Below are 24539 nucleotides of genomic sequence, written 5' to 3'. Positions count from 1 at the left end.
AATGGCTTGCACCTGCCCGGAGCAGGTGCAGGCACTATGCATCCTGAACTTCCCAGGCTGTGGAACTGTGAACTAAGTAAATCATTTTTCTTTAGGAACTACCTGGTCTCAGGTATTGTTACAACAACACAAAGCAGACTCAGACAGAGATACTATGAACACTGGATAAACTAAAGAAATTTCAGAGCTGACGGTTTTTTCATCACCTGTTCTACTCTTCCTAAAGTACACATGTAGAAATGCCCCACAGCAGCCTCACCTCAGGTGATCCTGCCCCACCTTCCCTTTGCTTCATTAACATCTACTCTCCATTGCCCACCTTGGAGTTACATTTCCTTCAGTTTCCATATTGTAACCACACGGAATTTTCCACAACTTCCACAACAGTGCGCTGAGTTTTCCATTGTATTTTCCCTTACTTTGCAGCTTTCTTTCTCCAACCCAGCCCACATGTTTTTACCACTGTCTTCCAATTCTAGGCTTTTGTTGCTGTTTATTCTTTTTTCCCAGCCTAATCTTCTCCCAGTTCCCTGGGAGGATGTTACTAGTTCACTGGTTGGTGGACGCCTTTTATTTCTGTTCTTTCCATTACCAAGTCCAGTTTCCTATTTTCTTTGAAAAATATTAAGATATATCCTTTATTACAAATTGGGTAAATGGTTCAAAGTCAAGTGTTCAGAAGCCATCCTATTAGGAGAGTTTCTCAAACTTTTTTTTTATCATTATCAACCCCCAAAGGAGTCCTTTAGGCATCTTTTTTCCTATTCACCACCCATCCCACGAAATTTTAATGCTACAGATACATTGTGTATCTGTTTATATACGTGGCCCTTTGGAAAACCATGAAATTGTAATATCTAAATCCCCTCTTCCAAGAAGCAATTTTCACCCCCTTGGGGGCAATATCATCCCTGTTGAAAATTCCCCTTAAGAGACAGAGAGAGAGAGAGAACCCAGCCAAATAAAAGCCTTACTCACAGTAACATCTCCTTAATTATTCTGTATTTTATAATGGGCAGAGTTAGCTCCGGTAGCAAATCTGGTAATTTGTACTCAAACATATTGAAAGACATTAAAAACTTTCATTTGCTCCCAGCACATTAATGACCGCAAGCGTGAGAGATAGACTTATCCTGGATTACTGTACTCTTTGAAAAATGATGGAAGTTGCTTTTTTAAATTAAGGTGGCAACACCACTGATAATTTAAACATTGCAGGCATTCCAAAATGCTGTGATTTGCAACACCAGTTTTAATTAATGCCTGCAACCTGGCTGTGAAAATTGGGACCTGTAATTTGTGAGTTACAATAACTGCTAGTGTTTATTAACCTAGCAGGTCAAATTCTGGTTTCATGGTCGCATATATACATATATATCATCACCTATTAAACTTCAAGTTGAAAGCCAACTGGAGAGGGAAATTATCACCCACAGGTAATGCATCATCATTGAAAACAGAGGTGAGAGCAGAATGGAAGGTTTTCTCCTTCCCCTCCATCCTGCCTCACTTGGTTAACCCCTTCCTCTCAATCTGTGCTGTTGAGTTTCTTTTCCTTTTTTTTTTTTTTAACACAGTGTCAAATCCATTACTGTATTGCCATCCTTCTCATTCTATACAAAAATCTTCTTGTTTTCAAACTGGATGATATATCTTCTGAGGATTTCTTTCACCTTATTAACTTCAATCTATTCATCTGAGGATATGAGTCGGCCCTATGTGCTAGGCACTGCAACGGGCCTTGGAATATCATGAAAATAATGTCAGCACCACAGTTAGCTCTTACAGAGCACTATGTACCAGGCACTGTGCAAATATCTTCACATATATTAACTTCCTTAAGCCTTGCAACCTTCTGTGATGAGTCAGACCTAGCCACTAACCTCAAGGTGTCTACTATGCAGTGGAACTAGCTGCATTGGCTTAGCTTGATTGCAGGTACCTGAAAGGTTTGCAGTACCTCACACAGAGGTATTGAGCCAGAGGCTGGGCTCAAAAAATTGTTGGCCAATTCAATTTAACCAGAATCAAAATAAACTTGAGAATATATACATAACAGCTTTTCTTTTCTCTTTTCTTTTCGAGACAGAGTCTTGCTCTGTCACCCAGGCCCAAGTGCAGTGGCATGATCTCAGCTCACTGCAAACTCCGCCTCCTGGGTTCAAGTGATTCTCCTGCCTCAGCGTCCCAAGTAGTTGGGATTACAGGTGTGCACCACCATGCCTGGCTAATTTTTGTATTTTTAGTGGAGACAGGGTTTCTCCATGTTGGCCAGGCTAGTCCTGACATCAAGTGATCCGCCCGCCTCAGCCTCTCAAAGTGCTGGGATTACAGGCGTGAGTGCCTGCACACATTATAGCTTTTCTGGGTATAGATTCATTCGTTCTTTTAGTCGTGGTTACATATATGTTATATTATAGTTTTCCCTTTGTATCCATGGGGGATTGGTTCCTGGACCTCCCTTGGACACTAAAATCCAAGGATGCTCAATTCTTTTATAAAAAACGGTATAGTATTTGTATATAACCAAGGAACATCCTCCCATGTACTTTAAGTCAAACTTGTCCAATCCTTGGCCCATGGGCTGCATGAGGCCTGGGATTGCTTTGAATGTGGCCCAACACAAATTTGTAAACCTTCTTAAAACATAGATATTTTGTGATTTTTTTTTTTTTTTTTTTTGCTTATCGGCTATTGTTAGTGTATTTTATGTGTAGCCCAAGACAATTCTTCTTCCAGTGTGGCCCAGGGAAGCCAAAAGTTTGGACACCCCTCCTTTAAATCAACTCTAGATTACTTACAATACCTAATACAATGTAAATTCTATGTAAATAGTTGTTACACTGTATTTTTAAAATTTGTATTATTTTTAGTTATATTTTTATTTTCAAATATAGCAGATCCTCAATGTTGTTTCATTCAATGTTGTTTAGTGATAATGTTGATGAGAAAAAAAAATTTGGGAACATCACACACCAGCGGGGACTGTTGTGGGGTGGAGGGAGGGGGGAGGGATAGCATTAAGAAATATACCTAATGCTAAATGACGAGTTAATGGGTGCAGCACACCAACATGGCAAAAGTATACATATGTAGCAAACCTGCATGTTGTGCACATGTACCCTAAAATTTAAAGTATAATAATAATAATAAAATAAAAAGAAGAAAAAAAAGTTGGTTCCCACCAGGGCCACTGTCTGTGTGAAATTTGCATATTCTCCCAATGTCCACCTGGGTTTTCTCCACATCCTCCGGTTTCCTCCCACATCCCAAAGATGTGCATGTTAGGTGAATTGGCATGTCTACGTCCCAGTGTGAGTGTGGGGGGGTGCGAGTGTCCCTTGCGATGGAATCGTGTCCCATTCACGACTGGTCCCCACCTCACGCCTGCTGAGTTGGCTGTGACTACCATTGACCCTGAACTGGAATAAATGGGTAAATTATTATCTTGTGTGTTTTTATTAAGCTTTCTTAAGTGTGCGTAAAACTCACATTTATTTCAATTTGGTATTAAAAGCATTTCAGGGTCTTCATTTAGAAGTTTGGTGATGCTTTTGTGAGTACAAATATGCCATAGTAATTTAACCCTGGTTTGTATCAATTAGCGTGTGGTAAAATTAGTTTCCATATACATCATCAATGTTTAATGAGGACTTTAGCATATTGTTGATCTGCAGATGGCTAATCTGAGGATGTGAGATATAGAGAGATACAGACAGCCAACTGAATTTGGTTATATTTCTTCTCGAAGCAAAAGTGCTGGGTTTTAACCTGTGTCTTTACAGTGCAGTAGCAATGACAGCAATGCTGATGTAATTACATTCTGGCTGCGTGGTTAAGTTGAAAGTGCCATCCAGACACAGGTAAAGACACATAGAGTTATAACAATTTATTATATCCCTCTCTCCATCTGCCTATTTCTCTACCCACCCACCTATCCATCCATATATTCATCCATTCATTCACCCTCCCATCCATAGTGCCAGACATCAGGCAATGAGAGAAACAAAGCTGTTCACATCAGATAGGGGGCATGATTCAAACTTATCTCCAGTTTAAAAGAAACAACACCCGAGGGAGAGGACAATCTAGGTAAATTCCAATCTGAAACACTTGGCAGTTGTTCTTTTTGCAGAATCTTGTAAGGTTAGTTACTCTCCAATTAGTTCAATGAGAGATGGAAATGGAAATTAAGGAAAAGGGCAAATCACCACCTGCTGGTAACTCTCCCTAGAGAGCATCCTCCACTATCTGCAAATAGGAGTCCTGAGTTCTGGACCTGTTTTTGCCATGATGTCATCTTTGATGAATTACTTAATCATTCTCTGCATCTGTTCCTTCCTGAGTCCCAAGGATGCTGTGGGGGCATGTGAAATAAAATTTCCACACTGAGGGTTCGATTTCTGATTCCTTGGCAGGGACTAGGGTGAAACAGTTGCCTCTCCAATCTGCTGGGGTTAAGCATCGCTGTAAGGAAGCATTCTGCTAAGCATGCCAGATGACACTTGTGGTCACTTGACTGTTCCCTAAAGTCCCTGCTCAAGGCTAGTGCTTTTCCCATTTTTATCATTGCTGCGTATTTCACCATGCAGCCAGCAACCTTGAAGTGGTCCCTTACCCTTAAGTTTGTGGGGTCTCTCTCCATACTTATTGGAGTTGTGATAATGCGTAGGTGGTATAACAATCTTGGTGCCTTTTCCATAGAACCAAACTATCATGTTTGATTAGTTAAACCAATGCCCAGAGCTCCAAAGTATGAGCATCTCTGAGCCCACAAGACTGAGAGGTTACAAGGAGGCCTGACAGATCTCTTCAGCCACAATAGTGTTAGACCTTCTTCTTTACTTTGTGGAATGTCGTTATTTAGAAACCTACTAATTTGGAATAATGAATGGTAGTTGGGATACCATCTGGGCCAAAATTCAACTTTGTGCTAGTTATGGAAAATAAAACACTTGTTAAACTAAAATTATTGATATAAATAAGACTTAGGAGAGAATGTTTAAACTATATGAAGATAAAATACTTTCATGTATGTATAAATCACCTGGAAGTCACTCAATTTATCCCTTCCTTCCCCAGAGATGTCCATGCCCTAATCACTCATGAATAAGAGACTTTGCAGATGTAACAAAGGTTACAGACCTTAAAATATAGAGATTTTCCTGGACTACCTATACTGTCCCAATCTAATTACTGAACCATTAAAAGCAGAGAAATTTATTTGTTTGGAGTCAGAGAGATGTGGCAGAAGAGGAAATTGATTTGAAGCATGAAAGGTACTTAATCCACTGTCGTAGTCTGTTTTGTGTTATTGTAACAGAATACTACAGATGGGTAATTTATAAGGAAAACAAATTTACTTCTCACAGTGCTGAAGGCTGAGAAGTCCAGTAACAAGGTACCAGCATCTTGTAAGGACCTTCTTGCTGTATCATACTATGGCAGATGGTAGAAGGGCAAGAGAGGGTGAGGGTGGGAGAGAGAGAGGATGGGGGTAGGACTCATCCTTTTATCAAGAACACACTCTGTTGATAACTAACCCACTTCTGGAATAACAGCATTAATCTATTTGTGAGGGCAGAACCTTCATGAACTCATTACCTCTTAAAGGTTCCACCTTCCAACGCTGTTGCATTGAGGATTAAGTTTTAGGGGACACATTAAAATCATAGCAGCTGATGTGACTGGAAGAGAAGTTGTGTCAAGCATGAGAAGGAATGTGAGTGGCCTCTAGCAAACACCCACTCCTGGCTGACAGTCACCAAAGAAATGGAGACTTCAGTCCTACAATTGCGAGGAACTGAATTTGACCAACAACCTGAATGAGCTCAGAAGCAGACTTAGGTTTAGAACCTGCAGAAAGAAACACAGTCCTGCTGCCACTTTGGCCGTGTTTATGTGAGACTCCATGAGAGGACCCAGCTGACTCACACTGTACCCTGATTTCAGACCTACAGAACTGTAAGATAACAAGTGTGTGCTGTTTTAAGCCACTAAATTTGTGGTAGTTTATAGCAGCAAACTAAAAATAAAAATTAATGCAACAGGGGAGATATTAAAAATAATTAATAGCTGAGATAGCCCAGGAGCTGACGACCCACCAGTCAGATGGCCAGAAGGCCAAGGCAGGGCATCCTGGCTGACTATCCCCCTGGCAGATGCATAACTTCAAAGATGGTGATAAATCATTCTTAGCGATTTGTGCCAGTAGGTCTCTAAGAGGCAGCATGCTGTCAACTTGAGCTCTGTTCACTGCGTGTCCTTAAACATAGCAAAAGGGATATTCTTTGATAACTATTTAGCAGTTCAGTTTACATTTCTACCTCATACAAATCCCAAACCATCCTTTCTGTTAGTTTGCTTTTACAGTTTGAATTGCACCCCAGCCCCACCCTGCCCCCGCTCCCACACTTTTTCCCTTTAGCAGCAATCTCTATACCCAGAAATCATCGCTGAAACCAAACCAGAGTTTTGTCTTTGCATTCAGAATCCTTCCTGGCTGACGTGATGACAAGAGAAGCTCAGGGTTGCCAGAGTCATATTAGAGAGAATGAAATTAGACTAATATGTTTGTCAACCATCAGCAAGCTCAGCCTCCCCAATTATCCTGTCTAATTAGATTAGAGGCTGACAGCTGAGAGCACACCCTGTGACATTTTAGCTTGCCATCTAAAAATGAGGAACACACAACCCTGCTTGTTTATCTCATTTAAACCCAGATCATCTTTCGAGTTGTTACAAGAACTGATTTTTGTAATTAGCTGACATTTGTATTACATCAGTTTATCTTCTCTGCTCAACATACAATAGACCTAGGGGTTTGTGGTTTATGGTCTATGGCTTTCAACATGGCTTAAAGAAACCCTGGGAAGTAAAGTTGAGCTCTAGGCATCTTCAAAAAACTTGGTAAACTGCATGGAGACACTTGGTTTGGGTTCCCGCTAAAATCTCAGAGTAACATAGTAAAAGTCATAAATAGTCATCAACAGTTCTTGAATCAGCTCAGAGTGGAAAATGGATATACACGCATGCACGCCACATGATTTGACTTAGAAATAAAACCCACGGATCACACGGTAGGAATTTTATTAGTTACAGAGTGTTATACAGAGGTTGTGGAGAAGGCAGTAAATTTCCACTCTGATTTTAAAGGGGAATAAAACACCCCTCTCTCAACAGCTATTCTCAGTTCTAGCTACAAGCCTGGTGTTGCCGGAGATTTCATTATGGCTTCTTGTAACAACGACCGAATGATTTACGACTTGTACAAACTGCCTTACAGGAGATAGCTGGAGAAATGGCTCTCAGAAAAGCCTGTATTTCTTACTACAGAACTGGTGGAAACAATAAATTTGAACAGAGGGCTTAACAAGGTTTTTGAACAGAGATTTAAAGTGGTTTTATCATGGGGGTCCTTCCAGTATTAAATGACATCGGACAGTGTTCAAGGCAGGTGACCCATCTTAAGCTACTGAATTCCACAGTGTGGAATGTGAGAGCTAAAACAAGGCTCTAGCGTAGAATTTAGTCAGCAAAGTAAGTAGAGGTGAAGTGGCTAACATGACCAGCAACATGTAGAAAGTTATAAACTTTTAAAAGCGGCAATTGCCAAAGCTATTGGCAATTACAGCTTTGGCAATTACGGCTTTTAAAAGTTTCCACATAGGTTATCTACAGAATGTGCTTTTACCAATTTTAGTCATCTAAGAGCCACAAGGAGGGGTTTCTGCCATAGCTATGTACCACTTATATGGTCTGCTTAATATTCTTTTTAAATTTTTATTTTTAATAGATACAGAGTCTTGTTATATTGCTAGGGCTCGTCTCAAACTCCTGGGCTCAAGCAATCCTCCTGTCTCAGCTTCCCAAAGTGCTGGGATTACAGGGGTGAGTCATCATACCCAGACTTCTTAATATTCAAAAACAACTCACTTTTATTTTTCATATACAAATTTAATTCTAAAAATTTGCATCATTGGTTTGATATGCTAGTTATATTTCTCCAACATAGATTAAATACATACATGACTATTAAAATCTCAGGGTTCTTCTATGTGTCCCCTAAAAGCATGATGTATGCCAGTGGTCATCTGTCCACCACCATTTGGGGACCACGGCATTTAGGTAAAGTGGGTCTCGGATGACCTCCTTCAGCTTAACAGCAGGAGTTGAGATGGAGCCCTTGCAATTTCCCCACTGAATTCCAGAAGCAAGGAGAAAGACTGAAGTGACAAGTACCGCAAGACAGACTTCAGGAACAATTCGTTTAAGCTGCAGCTCGAGTGTCACAGGAAACTCTTAAGCCAAGAGAGTGACCTTTCCAAGATGAATACCAATCGGACTGGGAGGGTGATTGGAAGGGAAACACTCTGCCTCACAGTTCCTCAGCACCTTCCACCCCCAAATGTCAGCATGATTTTACAAACGATTTTTCCGCCTCCTCACATCCTTCTGGAAGGGTTAAGTGCCTCGTCGGTGGAGAATGAGCACAAAGGCAGGTAAAGCAGCAACTTGGTAAAAGGCCACGCAGAAAATCAATAGCTAGGCAAACACACTCATGATCAGAAATCTGATCTGGCCCCCGGGGACCATTCAGCTCCATCCTGAGGACCCAGCGTATCTTAACCCGAGTCCTGGAAACTTTAGATTACAACAATAATAATCATAAATTGATGGCGATGATCAGAGCTGAAATTTCCTGATTTATTCCTCTGTGCCAGGACTTTGAGATACATGATTTCATTTATCCTTAATGCATCTTCATGAAATACCTACTTGTCTATCTCTGTTTTACAGCTGCAGTAACTGAGTCTCAGACCAGCAAGATTCCTTGTCTAAGATCTCACAATAGTAAGGGGCTGAGCCAGGATTTGAACCCAAGAAGTCCAATTCCCCACCCTACTTTTTTAAACAGCTTTAGAACTGATCCTTTGAATAGTTCCACAACTTCTTGCAAATAGTTGCCGTCTTAACTTCTGTCTTCCTAAGACATGTATTAAAATCAGAGCCCATACTATACATAACAGCATGCTGTGTGTGTTCACATGTAAAGAGTATGTATTACTACAGGTATCATTGTCGTGTTAGCAAGGGAGGCAGATGTGGCTCCATGAGTGGGAGCATGCACCCTGGAGGCCGTCTGCCTCATTTCAATTCCAACTCCTCACTTTACCAGCTGTGAAACCTGTGACGGCGACTTAACCGCTTTGAGCCTCATCTGGAAAATGGGGCAGTAACAGTACCCATCTGACAAGTGTGTGGTGAGGGTTAAATTAGCGACTATATACATAGTGCAGAAACAGTGCCTGGCAAATAGGAACTGCTACAGAATTTGATGTGGGAATGTGCACAGCTGAGCAGCCTGGTGCCTGCCAGCCGGGCCCGTGTCCTTTACTCACGACTTTGTGGCATTGCTCACAAAGAATGGAGCTATTTCCAGGCTCAGGCTGTCTTTCAGGTGGATCGTAGTTAATGATGTCTCCATCCAGCTGTAACCTTGGACCTAACTCTACATCCCCCTATCTGACTTCTCTCCTATTGTCCCCATGGGCTCACCCTGCTCCAGCCATGCGGGTCATCGAAATGCTCTGTCCCAGGGCCTTTGCACCTGCTGTTCTCTCCATCTGCAGTGCTCTCTGGGTGGTTACTTCACCCTTTCAAACCTCTGCTCAAATGTCCAGACCATCCTCCCTCCCTTGTAAGTCTTCCTGTTCTCCAAGCACTTACCCCATCGGACATTCCGCAGGTTTTACTTGTTTCTTTTGTTTATCGTGTGCCTCCTACACTAGAATATCAGTTCCACGAGGGCAGGGATATCTGTCTGTTTTGCTCACTGCTGTCTCCTTGGTATCTAGAAAAGTGCCTGGCATATCACAGGACCTCAGTAAACATTTGTTGAGTGAATAAATAAATAGGGGAAACAATGAAAGGGGAAGAGGTCGTGAAATTTTTGTCAAGACACAAGGAAGACCGACTTCAGGAGTGTAGAAATTGAAAACGGTGATAACAGCCAACTCAGAAAATAAATGGGAATAAAAGAGTCCACAACCCCGTTCCATTTTCAAAAGAAAAATCCGCTTGCGTTGTGCTTTAATAAAACCTTGCACTTTGGTAACAGCCCATTTATATGTTCAAGGGGAGAGTGATCAATATCTCTGCAGCTCTGGTATTTCCTGGACCCAGTCAAAAGGCACAAGGTCACCCAAAGTCACTGTCACAAAGTAAAGTGGGATGAAGTCATTGAGAAAACCTTCTAGTTTTTCCAAAGCCTTCTGAAGGCCCTGCAGCTGCTGTGTGTCTAGCCCTGCATCAAAGATTCCTACCTCTGCCATTTCCTAACCAGACAGGAGGATGCATCAAAGGAAGCAGTTTGTCTCATGTCCGGGGTTACTAGCATCTCCTCTGGAAATGGTGATGAACCTCAGGCTAACACAACGAATGTGCCTCTTTCAGATGATTCCTGAACCACAGCCAGGCCAATGTGATGGACGGAGGTCTTGCCAGGCCACTTGGGGGGTGAGGCTGGGATGTTCCTAAGACTGAAAGGCAAAGGCGTGCCTCAGAGGGTTGGACTGTTAAAAAGGAGGTCTTGGTGCTGATGTTTGGAGCGCCTGGGTACATCACGTGCTTGTCTCTGTGCCATGGCCGCCGTCCCAGCTCGGCACAGCAGGAGCTTGTGCAAGCCTCCGTCAGCTCCATTGGGGAAGGGAAAGGAGCACAATATACTTCCTACAGAAAGCCCTGGCCCTCAGCCCTCAGAGGCTCGCAGCTGTGCACATCTGGAACAAACTGTCCCAGTGGAGTTGCACACGTGCTCCCAGCATACTCTCTGAATCCGACACCAAGTGCGGAGCCAGGAGGGCCCGGCATGCATGCTGCCTAGCCACGTGAGCCACCTTTCACTCATCTCCAAGCAGAAACCATCGGCCTTTGTGACTTCAACTCCGAGTTGAAAGTGTGCCTTTGTTCATCTGTCCCGCAGCTCGTTGGACATGTCAATAACCTGACAGACCTTTGAGTCTCTCTACCTGACGCCCAGCCCCGTGATTACCTCTCCTCTTTCCATCCCTCCAAATTTGGAGCTACTCTGCATTTTGCTTTTGTTTGGACTTTGCAAAATTGAGATGCCAATGCAATAAACGTGTGTTGACCATTTACCATGGAGACAGCAAGGTGAGCTTCTCTTACTTCTATTAAATCATTTAATCTCTACATATTCCTGCGAGGTTGTAGTCACCTGCATTCCAGGTGAGATTCTAAGAACAAAAGCAACTTGCACAGAGGCTTGACAGACAGGTAGCAGGCAGAGCTGGGACTTAAACACAGCCTGGTCTGATGACAAACTCACCACTGACATGAAGTCAAACATTTGAGAAATGAATTTAATATTCTGAAGCAAAGCAGCTTAACTCGCCAATGCATTTGGTTCTCCCTGGTATAGATTCTAGATTAAACGAATAGCAAAAGAAGCTTTTCTTCCAGAATTATAGTTGAACTCTGTGTTTTTTTAGGCGCAGTGGCTCACGCCTGTAATCCCAGCACTTTGGGAGGCCGAGGCAGGTGGATCACGAGGTCAGGAGATCGAGACCATCCTGGCTAACACGGTGAAACCCCGTGGTCTACTAAAAATACAAAAAAAAAAAAAAAAATACAAAATTTAGCCAGGCGTGGTGGCGGGCACTTGTAGTCCCAGCTACTCGGGAGGCTGAGGCAGGAGAATGGTGTGAACCCGGGAGGCAGAGCTTGCAGTGAGCCAAGATTGCACCACTGCACTCCAGCCTGGGTCAAAGAGAAAGACTCTGTCTCAAAAAAAAAAAAAAAGAAAGAAAGAAAGAAAGAAAGAATCTTGAAATGTTTCCCAAAATACAGTTTTGGGACAGTTTTGGGACAGTTTTGGGACGGTGGAGGGTTCATTGTGATCTACCGTGATGAAGGGTCTCAGGCTCTCCTCTCTCTCTTCATCCGTTCAGTCTCTTGCACTTCATATAAATGCCTGAGCTTCTATCAAATTGTCTAATTTTTCCCCCATTCTTACCCTTCCCCCTTCTTTTCTTTTTTTTTTTTCTCTTTTTTTTTTTTTAATGTTTTTTTTTTTTATTATACTCTAAGTTTTAGGGTACATGTGCACATTGTGCAGGTTAGTTACATATGTATACATGTGCCATGCTGGTGCGCTGCACCCACTAACGTGTCATCTAGCATTAGGTATATCTCCCAATGCTATCCCTCCCCCCTCCCCCGACCCCACCACAGTCCCCAGAGTGTGATATTCCCCTTCCTGTGTCCATGGGATCTCATTGTTCAATTCCCACCTATGAGTGAGAATATGGTGCTGGGAAAACTGGCTAGCCATATGTAGAAAGCTGAAACTGGATCCCTTCCTTACATCTTATACAAAAATCAATTCAAGATGGATTAAAGATTTAAACGTTAGACCTAAAACCATAAAAACCCTAGAAGAAAACCTAGGCATTACCATTCAGGACATAGGCATGGGCAAGGACTTCATGTCCAGAACACCAAAAGCAATGGCAACAAAAGACAAAATTGACAAATGGGATCTAATTAAACTAAAGAGCTTCTGCACAGCAAAAGAAACTACCATTAGAGTGAACAGGCAACCTACAACATGGGAGAAAATTTTCGCAACCTACTCATCTGACAAAGGGCTAATATCCAGAATCTACAATGAACTCAAACAAATTTACAAGAAAAAAACAAACAACCCCATCAAAAAGTGGGCGAAGGACATGAACAGACACTTCTCAAAAGAAGACATTTATGCAGCCAAAAAACACATGAAGAAATGCTCATCATCACTGGCCATCAGAGAAATGCAAATCAAAACCACTATGAGATATCATCCCTTCCCCCTTCTTTTCAATGATGCCTTTAAAAATAAGGACATACACTACATCCAGGGCTGAACAGGCAAAAATAAGGATAAATTATAGCAGAAGGGACCTAAGAGATAAGGATGAACTTTCTGATTAAAAGGGTAATTAAACATTGTTACAGCCTCTGAGCAGAGGATCAGTCAGTCAAACATGCTTATTTTGTCATATTGTGGGAATCAAGCAAGGACTGAGTGTGCCATTTGGGGCAGGAGTGGGAGAGGAACACTTCCTAAAGAAATAGAACGCATCATCGATGCCTTTACAGATCTTGCAACTGAATGAGAAATTCACAATAGGCATGAGTAGAAAAGACCCCTAAAGCCCTTCATGGGGAGAGTAAATTTAGGTTTACTATCCTGTGCCATATTGATTAAATATGTTATCCCATTTAATCCTGCTGACAATTCTTTAGGGTGAAATGCTGTTATTTTTGCCCCTTACATATGACAGAACTGAGGCTCGGGAAACCTAAATCAGTTGCCACAATCACACAGCCAAGAAGGGATGGGCTCCGAGAAGACCCAACTGGAAAGCCAATGCAATTTCCTCTGCCATTTTTTTCTAGAATGTTCTAAATAAAGACCTCAGGGGACAGGTGAATAACAGGGTACTCTCTTGCCTCCCTCCCTCCTTTCCTCTCTCTGTCTCCTTCCCTCTCTTCCTTCCCTTTCTCCTTCCTACTCCTTTCCCCTCTGCCTCACTTTCTCCCTTCCTTCTTTCCTTCCTTTCCCTCTCTCCTTCTCTCCTTTGAATTTCAGTAAGACCATTACTTCATAATGTAGAAGTTGCGGGGGTGGGTAATATGGGGTGTCTAATTTCTGCTAACAGTGTGCATATTAAATATTGTGTGGCCAGAGACACTTGGCTCATCTTTGAGGACAGAAGAAAGCACCAGGGTGAGTTGCAATACCATTTGCAAGAATCTCAGCAACTCCAACGCACCGGGAAATACAGGTTTGGAGAGCTCATCTTTCCTGAGTTAACAGCATAGAAGGATTAGGAAAAGAACTTAGTAATAGGTTTTGATATTAGCAAAAAAGCAGCTCTGGGAACTAAATCTAAAGAGTAACAATCATTTTATTTAGGACTTGTTGAAAGCAGACACTTAGGAGGGAGAGAAGCTGCGACAGAGAGTCTCCAATTTACAAAAGAAAAGGGAAATCAAACTTCCTTTCTGGGTTTAGCTCAGTTCTAACCATTTTCTTGCCTAGAGTGGGTTACCAGGGATGACTCACCAGGCAGCATAACACAGCAGTGCACACTTTGGAGGCAGCCAGTCCTTGGTTCAAATTGTTACTTTGCTCACCACTTACCCAAACACATTATTTAATCTCACAGTGATTTAAAATACTCATCTATAAAATGGACATAATGATACTACCTCAGTCACTGGGTTCTTTAGAAGATAAAACGATGTCACACTTGTAAAGGGGTTAGCCCAGTGTCAGACAGGTTGTAAGTACTGCACCCATGACCATTGTGGAAGTCACACCGTGCAACTTTTATTTTGGCTGATGTCAGTTGTATAAAACTATGACATAGACCAGTAGATGGATGGAACATTCTGATTGGTGCAAGTCATTCTTCCCATAATTCCATTCAATATGCATAAACCCAGTACTGGACGACAGAACTGAAGATGCCATTCCTTTATGAAACTCCGTTTCTGTGAGCCTCCGTCTTGCTGGGCTGACTATATTTGACTACACACATAAAAATATATATCTAAAAAAAGATCATGAAACACATTTGATTAGTTTGAATATATGTCCCTGCCAAATCTCATGTTGAATTATAATCCCCAATGAGGGAGGTAGGGCCTAGTGGAGGTGTTTGGGTGATAGGGATGGATCCCTTGTGGCTTGGTGCTATCCTCCCAATAGTGAGTGAGTTTTCATGAGATCTGGTTGTTTAAAAGTGTGGCAACCCGCCCCCCAACTCCCTCTCTCACTATTTGAGACACTGGTTTCTCCTCTTCTCCCCTTTCTTCTTCTTCTTCTTCTTTTTTTTTTTTTTTTTTTTTGAGACAGAGTCTTGGTCTGTTGCCCAGACTGGAGTGCAGTGGCGCAATCTCAGCTCACTGCAACCTCTGCCTCCCGGTTCAAGCAATTCTCCTGCCTCAGCCTCCTGAGTAGGTGGGATTACAGGCACATGCCACCACACCTGGCTAATTTTTGTATTTTTAGTAGAGACGGGGTTTCACCATGTTGGTCAGGCTGGTCTCGAACTCCTGACCTCCTGATCCACCCGCCTCAGCCTCCCAAAGTGCTGGGATTACAGGCATGAGCCACCGTGTCCAGCCTGGCTTCTCCTTTCAACTTCTGCCATGCTTGTAAGCTTCCTGAGGCTTCCCGCAGAAGCTCAGTAGATGTTGGTGTCATACCTGTGCAGCCTGCAGAAACGTAAGCCAATTAAACCTTTTTTTTTTTAAATAAATTACCCAGTCTCAGGTATTTCTTTATAGCAATGCAAGAATGACCTAGCCTGCAAGTCCCCTACTATTTTATCTGGTGCTTAGCCGTAAAATAATGAGCTGTTCCAATTCTGGGCGGACATCATAATTTATTGCATGGACAATTTAAGGGGCTGTATTTTGACCATTTGCCACTTTTACATCAGTCTTTGATTTCAGAACCTCACCCCACTATATTGAGGCTGTTATTGCTCCTTCATCCAATCAGCCATTAGGGGCTGTTGGCTTGAGTTACCAACAAAAGGAATGGTCGAGTGCAGCTTTCACTTCTGCAAAACGACGTGGAGATGCAGGTCATAAATACCAGAGATGATCCCTAGGGAGCTTCTCTCTGAGTTTCTGCAGATGTCGGTGCAAACTTCAAACACAGATGAGATTCCAAGTGCATTGTATTAGCAAAAGTTGCTGGATATAACAATGTCTATCAAATTATTTGATAAAGATCTATTCATTACCCTTATCCAGCCAAAAGAAAAATATAATTGAACCATGGTCACATGCCATAATGGGTATGAGAATAAAACTTCCTCTTCTTTCCCCCTAATTAGAAAACCAGGGGCTTAGAAAAATGCATAAAAGCAGATCAGATAGAACAGATTTTTATGTTTTTTATGTGGGAAACCTTTTCTGTGACTTAACAGTTAAGACATTTCATAAACTCCAAAAATGAAATAAACGAAACCAAAAATGCATGCACCCCCACCCCCCGCCCCAACCACCATTACAGAATGTCACGTCTCGCTTGCTCATAGAAGCCATTCATTAAATATTTGTTAAGCATTCAGTGATTGATAATGACTGCAGGAGCTCATACATCTGCGACATGAATATCTGGCCGGGGAGGGCTCTATGAAATGAAAGAAAGCACCCTGATAAGGAAGTCCGAGGCCTATTTTGTATGCCAAAGAGCTCTCTCTTAGCAGTCTGCAGAGGGGAGAATAAAGGAGGCTACAGTGTGGGCAGTAGAAAGTCTCAGTTCATGGAGGCAAAGAGGCAGCCTTCCCTACCCAGAAGTTACCATTACACCTGGAAAGGAAAGAAGAAAGAACAAATTGCCACCAAGGCCTCTCCTTGGATTTTACCTGAAAGGACAAGGCTGCCACCTGCCAAAAGCCCGAATATCTCCTCCCTCTAACTCAGTTTCTCTTTTCTCCATGAGTCTTATTTCAAAATGCAAATAGTCCTATGGACAATTATATATTAACCCATTAGTAGCCATTAACTCAGATAAAATGACTTAAGAAGAAATAGCTATTACCTTATGTGATGAACACTTCACTGTGCTTTATGATTCAAAATTCTGAAGAAATATGACCTTAGGCCGAGAAGCTTGATGAGCAAGAAGGGAATCTGCAAGGGTAGGGTACTTTTTAGGTGGGTTGTTAAAATGCTGTATGGGACTTGGGAATAACTATTATAATCGTAATAATATGGCAGAAAAGCTTAGTGCTTCACCAACAACCATGGTCCTCCTCTTCTTCCTGGACAAACAGCTGGACTATATAACTCTACCCCGGTAACCGGGTGGGGCCGTTTTTTTTTTTTTTTCTCTTTTTTCTGGAGTAGGTAGCCAAGAGTGGGATTGACTTGTAACATAGTAAGTGTATATTTATTTTTACAACAAACTGCTAAACTTTTTCCGAAGGAAAGACAGGACACCCACTACTTCCAGGTTGGCCTGTGAAACCTCTTGCAGAATTTTCTACCCTCTCTTCTCTCAACTGCCAGTTGATGCAAACAGTTTGATGGTACACCCTGAGGGCCTAGATGATGGAACCGCACAGTGGAAGGGGCCTGGAACCCTGATGTCTACATGGAGTACAGCCCCTGCATTGAACCAACAACGGATTGTAAGATGAGTGCAGAATAAATTTATTGTGTTAGGCCCTTGAGACGTGGGGATTTATTTGTTGATGAAACTAACATCACTTATCCTAACTAATAATATAGCAAACATTATTAGAGCTAATACCCATCAAGTGTATGTCTAAAGATTTGTTTAAGCATTTGAATCCTCCTAAGAGCTATATGGAATAGGATGGAGTAGGGAATGTATACCAACAGAGCAACCCCAGTAGGCAGCCCCTGAACTGATATTTGAAGGAAGAGCATGAGTTGCCTGAGTTGCTGGACAGGAATGTTCCAGGCAGAGGGAACAACATGAGGAAAGGTCCTGGGGTAGGAAAGGCCCTGGCAAGATTGAGAAACAGACAGGAAGCCAGTGCAATTCATGGGGCAGTGGTATCATTAAGGTATCTCCAGGAATAAGATCTGGAGAAAATTCACCACCACACAAATGCCAGTCCCTAATTAAAGCCATGATAATAAGATGCTGTCATAGACAAGTCATTCTGGGTAGTGTGAACTCCAAGTTTATCCATCAGCTTATGACTAGCAAGGAAACAGATCTGAATATAAAACATCCATCTTTGTGACCAAAACAGAAACCAAATGGAGAAGACTCCTTAGGAACATCTGGATCTCTGTAATTTCTAACTTGAAAAACACATTTATAGATAAAAGCATTCTACAGTGGAGGCACAGAGAGAAAGACATGACATAAACAAGAAGAAAGGGCTAATTTATTTCCTCTCACTGCTGAGCATCTGTTGAATCTGGGCTCCTCTTCCAAGACTGCAGTGTCCCCCTTTCCTGGCCTCTTTCTAACATTTGGAGAATCTAGAAATTCACCTTCACAAGCTCCCCACAAGATCCAAGGAGGGTCGGGCACAGTGGCTCACACCTGTAATCCCAGCACTTTGGGAGATCGAGGCAGGTGGATCACTTGAGCTCAGGAGTTCAAGACCAGCCTGGGCAACATAGTGAGACCCCGTCTCTACAAAAAATACAAAAATTAGCTGGGCTTGGTTGCATGCATCTGTAGTCCCAGCTACTCAGGAAGCTGAGGCAGGAGGATTGCTTGAGCCCAAGAGGTCAAGGCTGCAGTGAGCCATGATCATGCCACTGCACTTAGCCTGGTGACAGAGTGAGACCCTGTGTCAAAAAAAAAAAAAAAAAAAAAAAAAGTCCGGGAGAACTTTTCACTGTGCCTGGATTTTTCTGGACCTACCCCAGTGACAACTTGATCTTCTGAGACATCCCAGATGGCAGCTGAAGGAAACTTCCAGAAAGGCATAGAAGTCTCTCTTTCCTCCCTCCCAGAATGTCTTAATAAGGAGTCTGAGCAAGATGACAGCAACTTTTGACCCTATCCCTCTTCTCTTCCCAAATGATGGTGGATCCAACAACACAACAAAGAAGAGATAACCCAACAAGAAAGGGAGAGACATTGCCTTCCTGGAGATGGTGCAAGGACAAGGCTATGCCGGGGAGGGGAATGGTTGAGAGCTTTCTAAGACTGAGTGACTTCTATCTCAATCAACCTTATCATCTTTAAAGAGAACAAGAGCCTCTTCCTCATGTAAGAGAAGTGATGGTGGTCACAGTGGGTAAACAGATGATCCTTCAATGTCATTGGCAATGTCAATGTTCCCCATTCCGTGGATGGAATTCTGAGAACCCTGGAATGAGGAAGACCCCAGAATTAGGCTGAGGAATCACACAAGCATAGATTACATAGTTTCAGTTCCAGGGTTAGGCCCTTTCTTTCCTGCTGGTAATTTTGGGTTCACTAGGGGGCATTCTGGAAGGGGAAACATGTTTTTTGTTGTTGTTGTTTTGGTTATGCCTCCTCTAGTACAGGTTCATGAAAAATATTTCCTAGACTTATAGTTTGGAGATTCCTAACATTTAACCATCGATTTTTTTTTTCTTTTTTGCTGTTAATAAATATTTCTAATATTTAATCATCCCTTAGTTTCTTCTTTTTTGCTATTAATAAATATTTCTGAATTTTACTGATTAGTTCCTTTATAGACATGTTTATTCAGTAATAAAAGTTGAAATACCATGCCCAAATTACCTTCAAACTAAGTCAATTGTTAAAAAGCAGGAAATATTTAGTTTCATGGATCTTGTGCTAATCATTATGTTTTACTCAAATAATACAACTAAAGCCCCCAAGCTCTATAAATATATTCATTTTCCACATGTTCTTTTGCTTCAAAGTCTTAATGTTGAATCTCACCATCAACTTTTTTTTTAACTCTCATAATATTGTTTCTGTGATGTTAGTTGTCTTTTTCCTTCCTTAGATCTCTGTTTCTTTTCCATCTTTTATCTATCATGTAAAAAGCAAGTTTTGAATGTCTTGCTGATTCTGTTTCTTTCTGCTCCATTTTATTGATTGACCCCAAGAAAAAAATCCCGGATCTCATATATATGTGTCTTAGAATCCCGAAGTTGATGGTGAGATTCAACATTAAGATTCTGAAGCAAAAGAACATGTGGAAAATGAGTGTATTTATAGAGCTTGGGGGCTTTATATTGTATTATTTGAGTAAAACGTAATGATTAGCATAAGATCCATGAAACTAAATACTTCCTGCTTTTTAACAATTGGCTTATTTTGAAGGTAATTTGGGCATGCTATTTCCATTTTTATTACTGAATAAACATGTGTATAAAGGAACTAATCAGTAAAATTCAGAAATATTTATTAACAGCAAAAGAGAATAATGGAAGGGATGGTTAAATATTAGGAATCTCCAAACTCTGTAAGTCTAGAAAATATCTTTCATGAACCTGTACTGAAGGCATAACTGCTTTTTTGCTGCTTTGGGGTTAATTAAACCTGTAAAAGGGATAGTTCTAGGAAGCCCGAGTAGTATCAGGTTATGCCAAACGGACAGCTGTGGGCAGAAGAAGAAGTTTCTGCCTAAGGGGTATCTGTTTTTTTTTTCACTTAGTATTCATTTCTGTTTCTGATAATACAAGACTGAGAACCTCATTTCTTTCAACATTCAGGATTCATAGACACTGTTTCTGGCTCAACAGGTAGAAATGCAGCCCCACCTGGCCAATCAGGGACCTCTTTTCCCATGGCCACAGCCATAGGTATGGAATTCATACATATGGAAGTGAGGGAACAGCAGACAGGCCTGGGACATGTGCTGAAATGATCGTAAAGAGACTCCCTTTCTTCTGGGGCTCAGTGGGTGCTGGTCTGGCCATCTGGCTTCCCCTTGGGGAGTGCCTGCCTGACAATGAAGACAGCACGGAGCAAAGCAGAATGCAGAATTGGAGAGGACTGGTTTCTAATCATCTCTTGAATGCTTGAATCTTGTAGTACTAGATTCACACCTGGAACTTCCTGATTTTGTGGGTCGATAAATTCATTTTGCAATTTCAACCAGTTTGGGTTTGTTGACGATAATTTCTCTGAATAATTCAATCTCTGTCTTGATCCTTCTGCAACTGTTTTTCTTTAATTCAAAAGTTCACATAATCAGAGCTTTCTTTTTGAAGAACAGGAATTAGTTTTGGAGTTTTACCGAATAATCAACTTTTAGAGCTGAAACAGACCCATTCCCATCCTTCATTGCTGTGTAGCAAACCACCTCAAAGTTTAATGGTGTAGAACAACAACTGCTGCATGGTGCTCATGGATCCTGTCGGTCAGGAATTTAGAAACAGCAGAGTGGGGATGGTTTGTCTCTGCTTCATTATGTCAGGGGCTTTAGCAGGCAGGATGTAAATCATTTGCCATTGAAATAATGGAGAGTCTCTTTACTCATATATCTGGTGCCTGAGCAAAATCAATACAAAGGCTGGGGGCTTAGCTGAGATTTCCAAACAGAGCACCTACGCATGGCCTTTCCATGTGACTGGCTTGGGCTTCCTCCCAGTATGGCGGACTAGGGATAGCTGGATTTCTAACATGGCTGCTTGGCCTCTAAGTGTGAATGTCCCCATGAACAACGTAGAAGCTGCTGAACCTTTCATGACCTAGTCTCACATAGCATCAGTTTCACCCTCTTTACAACACTGCCTTGATTCAGGGGAGGGGACATGACTCCCACCTGTCCATGGGAAGAGTGTCAAAGAATTTGGGAACATGTTTTAAAAGTACCACAGGACCTCAGATATGACACAGGTAGCACTGTATTCTCACACTGCTGTGCCTTTGCACATACTTCTGTCATACAACATTCTCCCCTTCCCAGTCTTCCTAACTAGTCCCTCTTCATCCTCCATGGCCCTGTAGCAGTTCCACCTCCATGAGAAGCATTTCCCAGCTTCTGAACTGGGCTAGGAGCAGCTTTGCTCTGTGGCATCCACACCCTCTGCTAGTCTCACCATATTGGAGCTGTCCGATTCTTCTTTGTCACCCCTCTCCAAATTGTGGACATCCTAAGGAACAGACACCATGCTTTATAATTTTTACTTTGGCTCCTGGTACACAGCAAATGCTAACAAATATATGTTTAGTGAAAATGTCCAACTCCCTCACTCTGCAAGTGAGAAAATGCCAGCCTGGACAGGAAGGGCCGTGTTTAAAGTCACAGAACTCATTTATAGGAGTTTAGAATCCATGTCTCCTGTCTGGAATTCCCGTGTTATTATGACTACACCACCATATTGTTTCAAACACAAAGCCCACGGTTGCTCTCAGAAAGGCTTATGTTCGGTGTTAATGAACCCGGGAGCATCTATGCAATCAACTTTTGCCTGTGAAATCCCTGGCTTTCCAAACCTACTAATTTGTGATGCTTTTAGACCTGGGAAGAAAACACAATAGATTGAGAGTGGCGTTTTACACCTGCAAAAACAAGCACCGATTGCGTTAGAGTTCACGCCTAATTAGGTTATGCATTTTGTCAGCAGGCTCAGTACTTCTCAGCTGAAATGTGTAGTACAAGAGCAACTGGCTTCCCACACACATGAGCCAGATGTTTGGCCTGCCAGCGTACATGAAGATTATTGCCACACACCCAAAAAAAAAAGCAAAAAGGAAAGGATGAGCAGTTATTCTGCAGTGCTTAGAACGTTTCTCACTTTCATGAACCTGTCATAAGTGTAAAGTAAAATGACATTATCAAAGAAATCTACATATAAAGAATCTATACTCAATCTAGACTATGTGCACACCTTGAATGGTCTCATTTGATGCGTATCGATCACGAAGCACTTCCTAAAATGTGAGAAAACACATTTCTTTACCTATTGGTCTACCCATTTCCTTTCTGCACCAAAGGATGAAGCTGGAAGCCATCATCCTCAGCAAACTAATGCAGGAACAGAAAACCGAACACCTCATGTTCTTACTTATAAATGGGAATTGAACATTGAGAGCAAATTGAATGTTTTTAAATGTTGATTCAGAAGAAATTAGTTCAGGAATCCTTTTTACTTGTTTTGATAGCGCATTCTAACACCGATCTTATCCACAAGCCCAAAGAGGAGAGCATTTGGTTTTTTAATAGTGTAACCATCTCTTCTGGCACATTGTCCCCCAGATAGCTTGTTTTTCTGACCTTAAAATTACCTTGATTTTTAACTGAAGTTCTATTCACTTCTAGCCTAATGAAAGAAAGTTAGTTTGCCTTCCTAGTATTCTAGGAAGAGTAAAACAAATATTTTAAAAATCCGTATTTTTAAAAATGTAACCACTTCTTCTAAGACCTTGCCTTTTTTTATAATAAGAAATGTTCCTTATCTACTCCCATACAATCTAGTGTTCATATACACTAGATTAGGAAAGTAATTAAAAGTCAGACAATAACGTGCCTTGGCAAGGATGTGAACAAAATTGGAAGCTTCATATAGTACCGAACAAACTATAGACTGGTAAAAACCACTTTGGAAAATAATTCGGCATGAGCTGGGTTATTTTAAGATATGCATTTCTGGAGACTCAGAAATCACACTTCTAGAGACATTTTTACAAAGCTGCACTGGGAGAGATGACCCACAGCTAGGCTTCCATCTGAAGGAAGCTCACACACATAATATTGTTTGAAAAAAAAGCAGGTCATGGACAAATACATAAAGTGCGATTTTATTTTCATAAAGCTCGAAACATTGCACAACTAAAACTAGGCTGTTTATGAAGATTTACAGTTTAGGCAAAACTATAAAGAACAGTAAGGGAATCATCACCATCGAGTAATTAGTTTGGCTGGGGGGAAAAGAGAATGCAATCGGGGTGTTGGAAATGTTCCATTCTTTGAGCTGGGTCAGGAGTACACGGTGTTTATTTTTTGTATCTTTCATAAGTGTGTTATATATTTTTATATGCATATAATATTTCATAGCTTCCCAAAACAAAAAATAAAAAGATTATATGAAAAAATCCTTACAATTTTGCAACATTTATGGTAATATGTTTTTAATAAAGTGTTCTTAAATACTAATAAAAGGCTAATAGCCCAAATAAAATATGGGTAAAGCTATGAAATGGCAATAAATAACAACAAAAAATACTATATATTTTTTAATTAAGTTCTGGGGTACATGCTCAGGATGTGCAGGTTTGCCACATAGGTAAATGTGTGCCATGGTGGTCCGCTGCACCCATCAACCTATCACCCAGGTATTAAGCCCGGCATGCATTAGCTATTTTTCCTGATGCTCCTCCCATCCCCAACATCTCCCCCAACAGGACCCAGTGTATGTTGTTCCCCTCCCTGTGTCCATATGTTCTCATTGTTCAGCTCTCACTTATAAGTAAGAACATGTGGTGTTTGGTTCCTGCATTACTTTGCTTAGGATAATGGCTTCCAGCTTTATCCATGCCCCTGCAAAGAATATGATCCTGTTCCTTTTTATGGCTACATTAATACTCCATGGTGCATATGTACCACATTTTTAAAATTCAGTCTATCATTGATGGGCATTTGGGTTGATTCCATATCTTTGCTATTGTGAATAGTGCTGCCATGAACATATGCATGCATGTATCTTTATAATAAAATGATTTCTATTCCTTTGGGTATATACCCAGCAATGAGATTGCTGGGTCAAATGGAAGAAATACCATATTTTTTAATCTATCAACTTAGCAATGAATAAAAACAGTGATGATACTTAAAATGAGATAAGGAAACAGGAACACAGCTGGTGGGGATGTGCTTGGTACACATTTTCTCCCAGGCAATTTGGCATTATGCATCAAAATCCTTCAGCCCCTTATAGACTGTGACCTAACAATTCTATTTCTAGGAATCTATCTCAAAGATGTACTTGGACAAGCAAGTCCTCAGGGATATATGTTCAAAAATGTTCACTGCAGGATTTTTTTTATCACGGTGAAAAATGTGAAACTG

The 24539-nt window shown here is 41.4% G+C and overlaps 1 protein-coding gene and 1 long non-coding RNA gene across 8 annotated transcripts in view, besides 1 other annotated feature; both read right to left on the bottom strand.

The window, feature by feature from the left end:
- The window catches only part of KAZN (kazrin, periplakin interacting protein), a 1225220-nt gene that overhangs the window by 848002 nt on the left and 352679 nt on the right, over positions 1–24539 (bottom strand). The window lies entirely within an intron of this gene.
- Positions 10231–10730: an enhancer, noted in NCBI's record as "H3K4me1 hESC enhancer chr1:14585807-14586306 (GRCh37/hg19 assembly coordinates)". NCBI's record gives its function as "activates a minimal SCP1, AML or CMV promoter by ChIP-STARR-seq in naive H9 embryonic stem cells {active_cell/tissue: H9 hESC(naive)}" and the evidence as "EXISTENCE:reporter gene assay evidence [ECO:0000049][PMID:30033119]".
- LOC107985467 (uncharacterized) overlaps positions 14380–24539 on the bottom strand; it is a 53718-nt gene continuing 43558 nt past the window's right edge. For both annotated transcript variants that reach the window (XR_001737610.2, XR_001737611.2), the window contains one exon: positions 14380–24539. This exon is cut by the window's right edge. This is a non-coding gene — a long non-coding RNA (uncharacterized LOC107985467).

This window comes from Homo sapiens, chromosome 1 (assembly GCF_000001405.40).
Source record: "Homo sapiens chromosome 1, GRCh38.p14 Primary Assembly".
NCBI lineage: Eukaryota > Metazoa > Chordata > Mammalia > Primates > Hominidae > Homo > Homo sapiens.
This window is presented reverse-complemented; position numbering and strand designations above follow the sequence as displayed.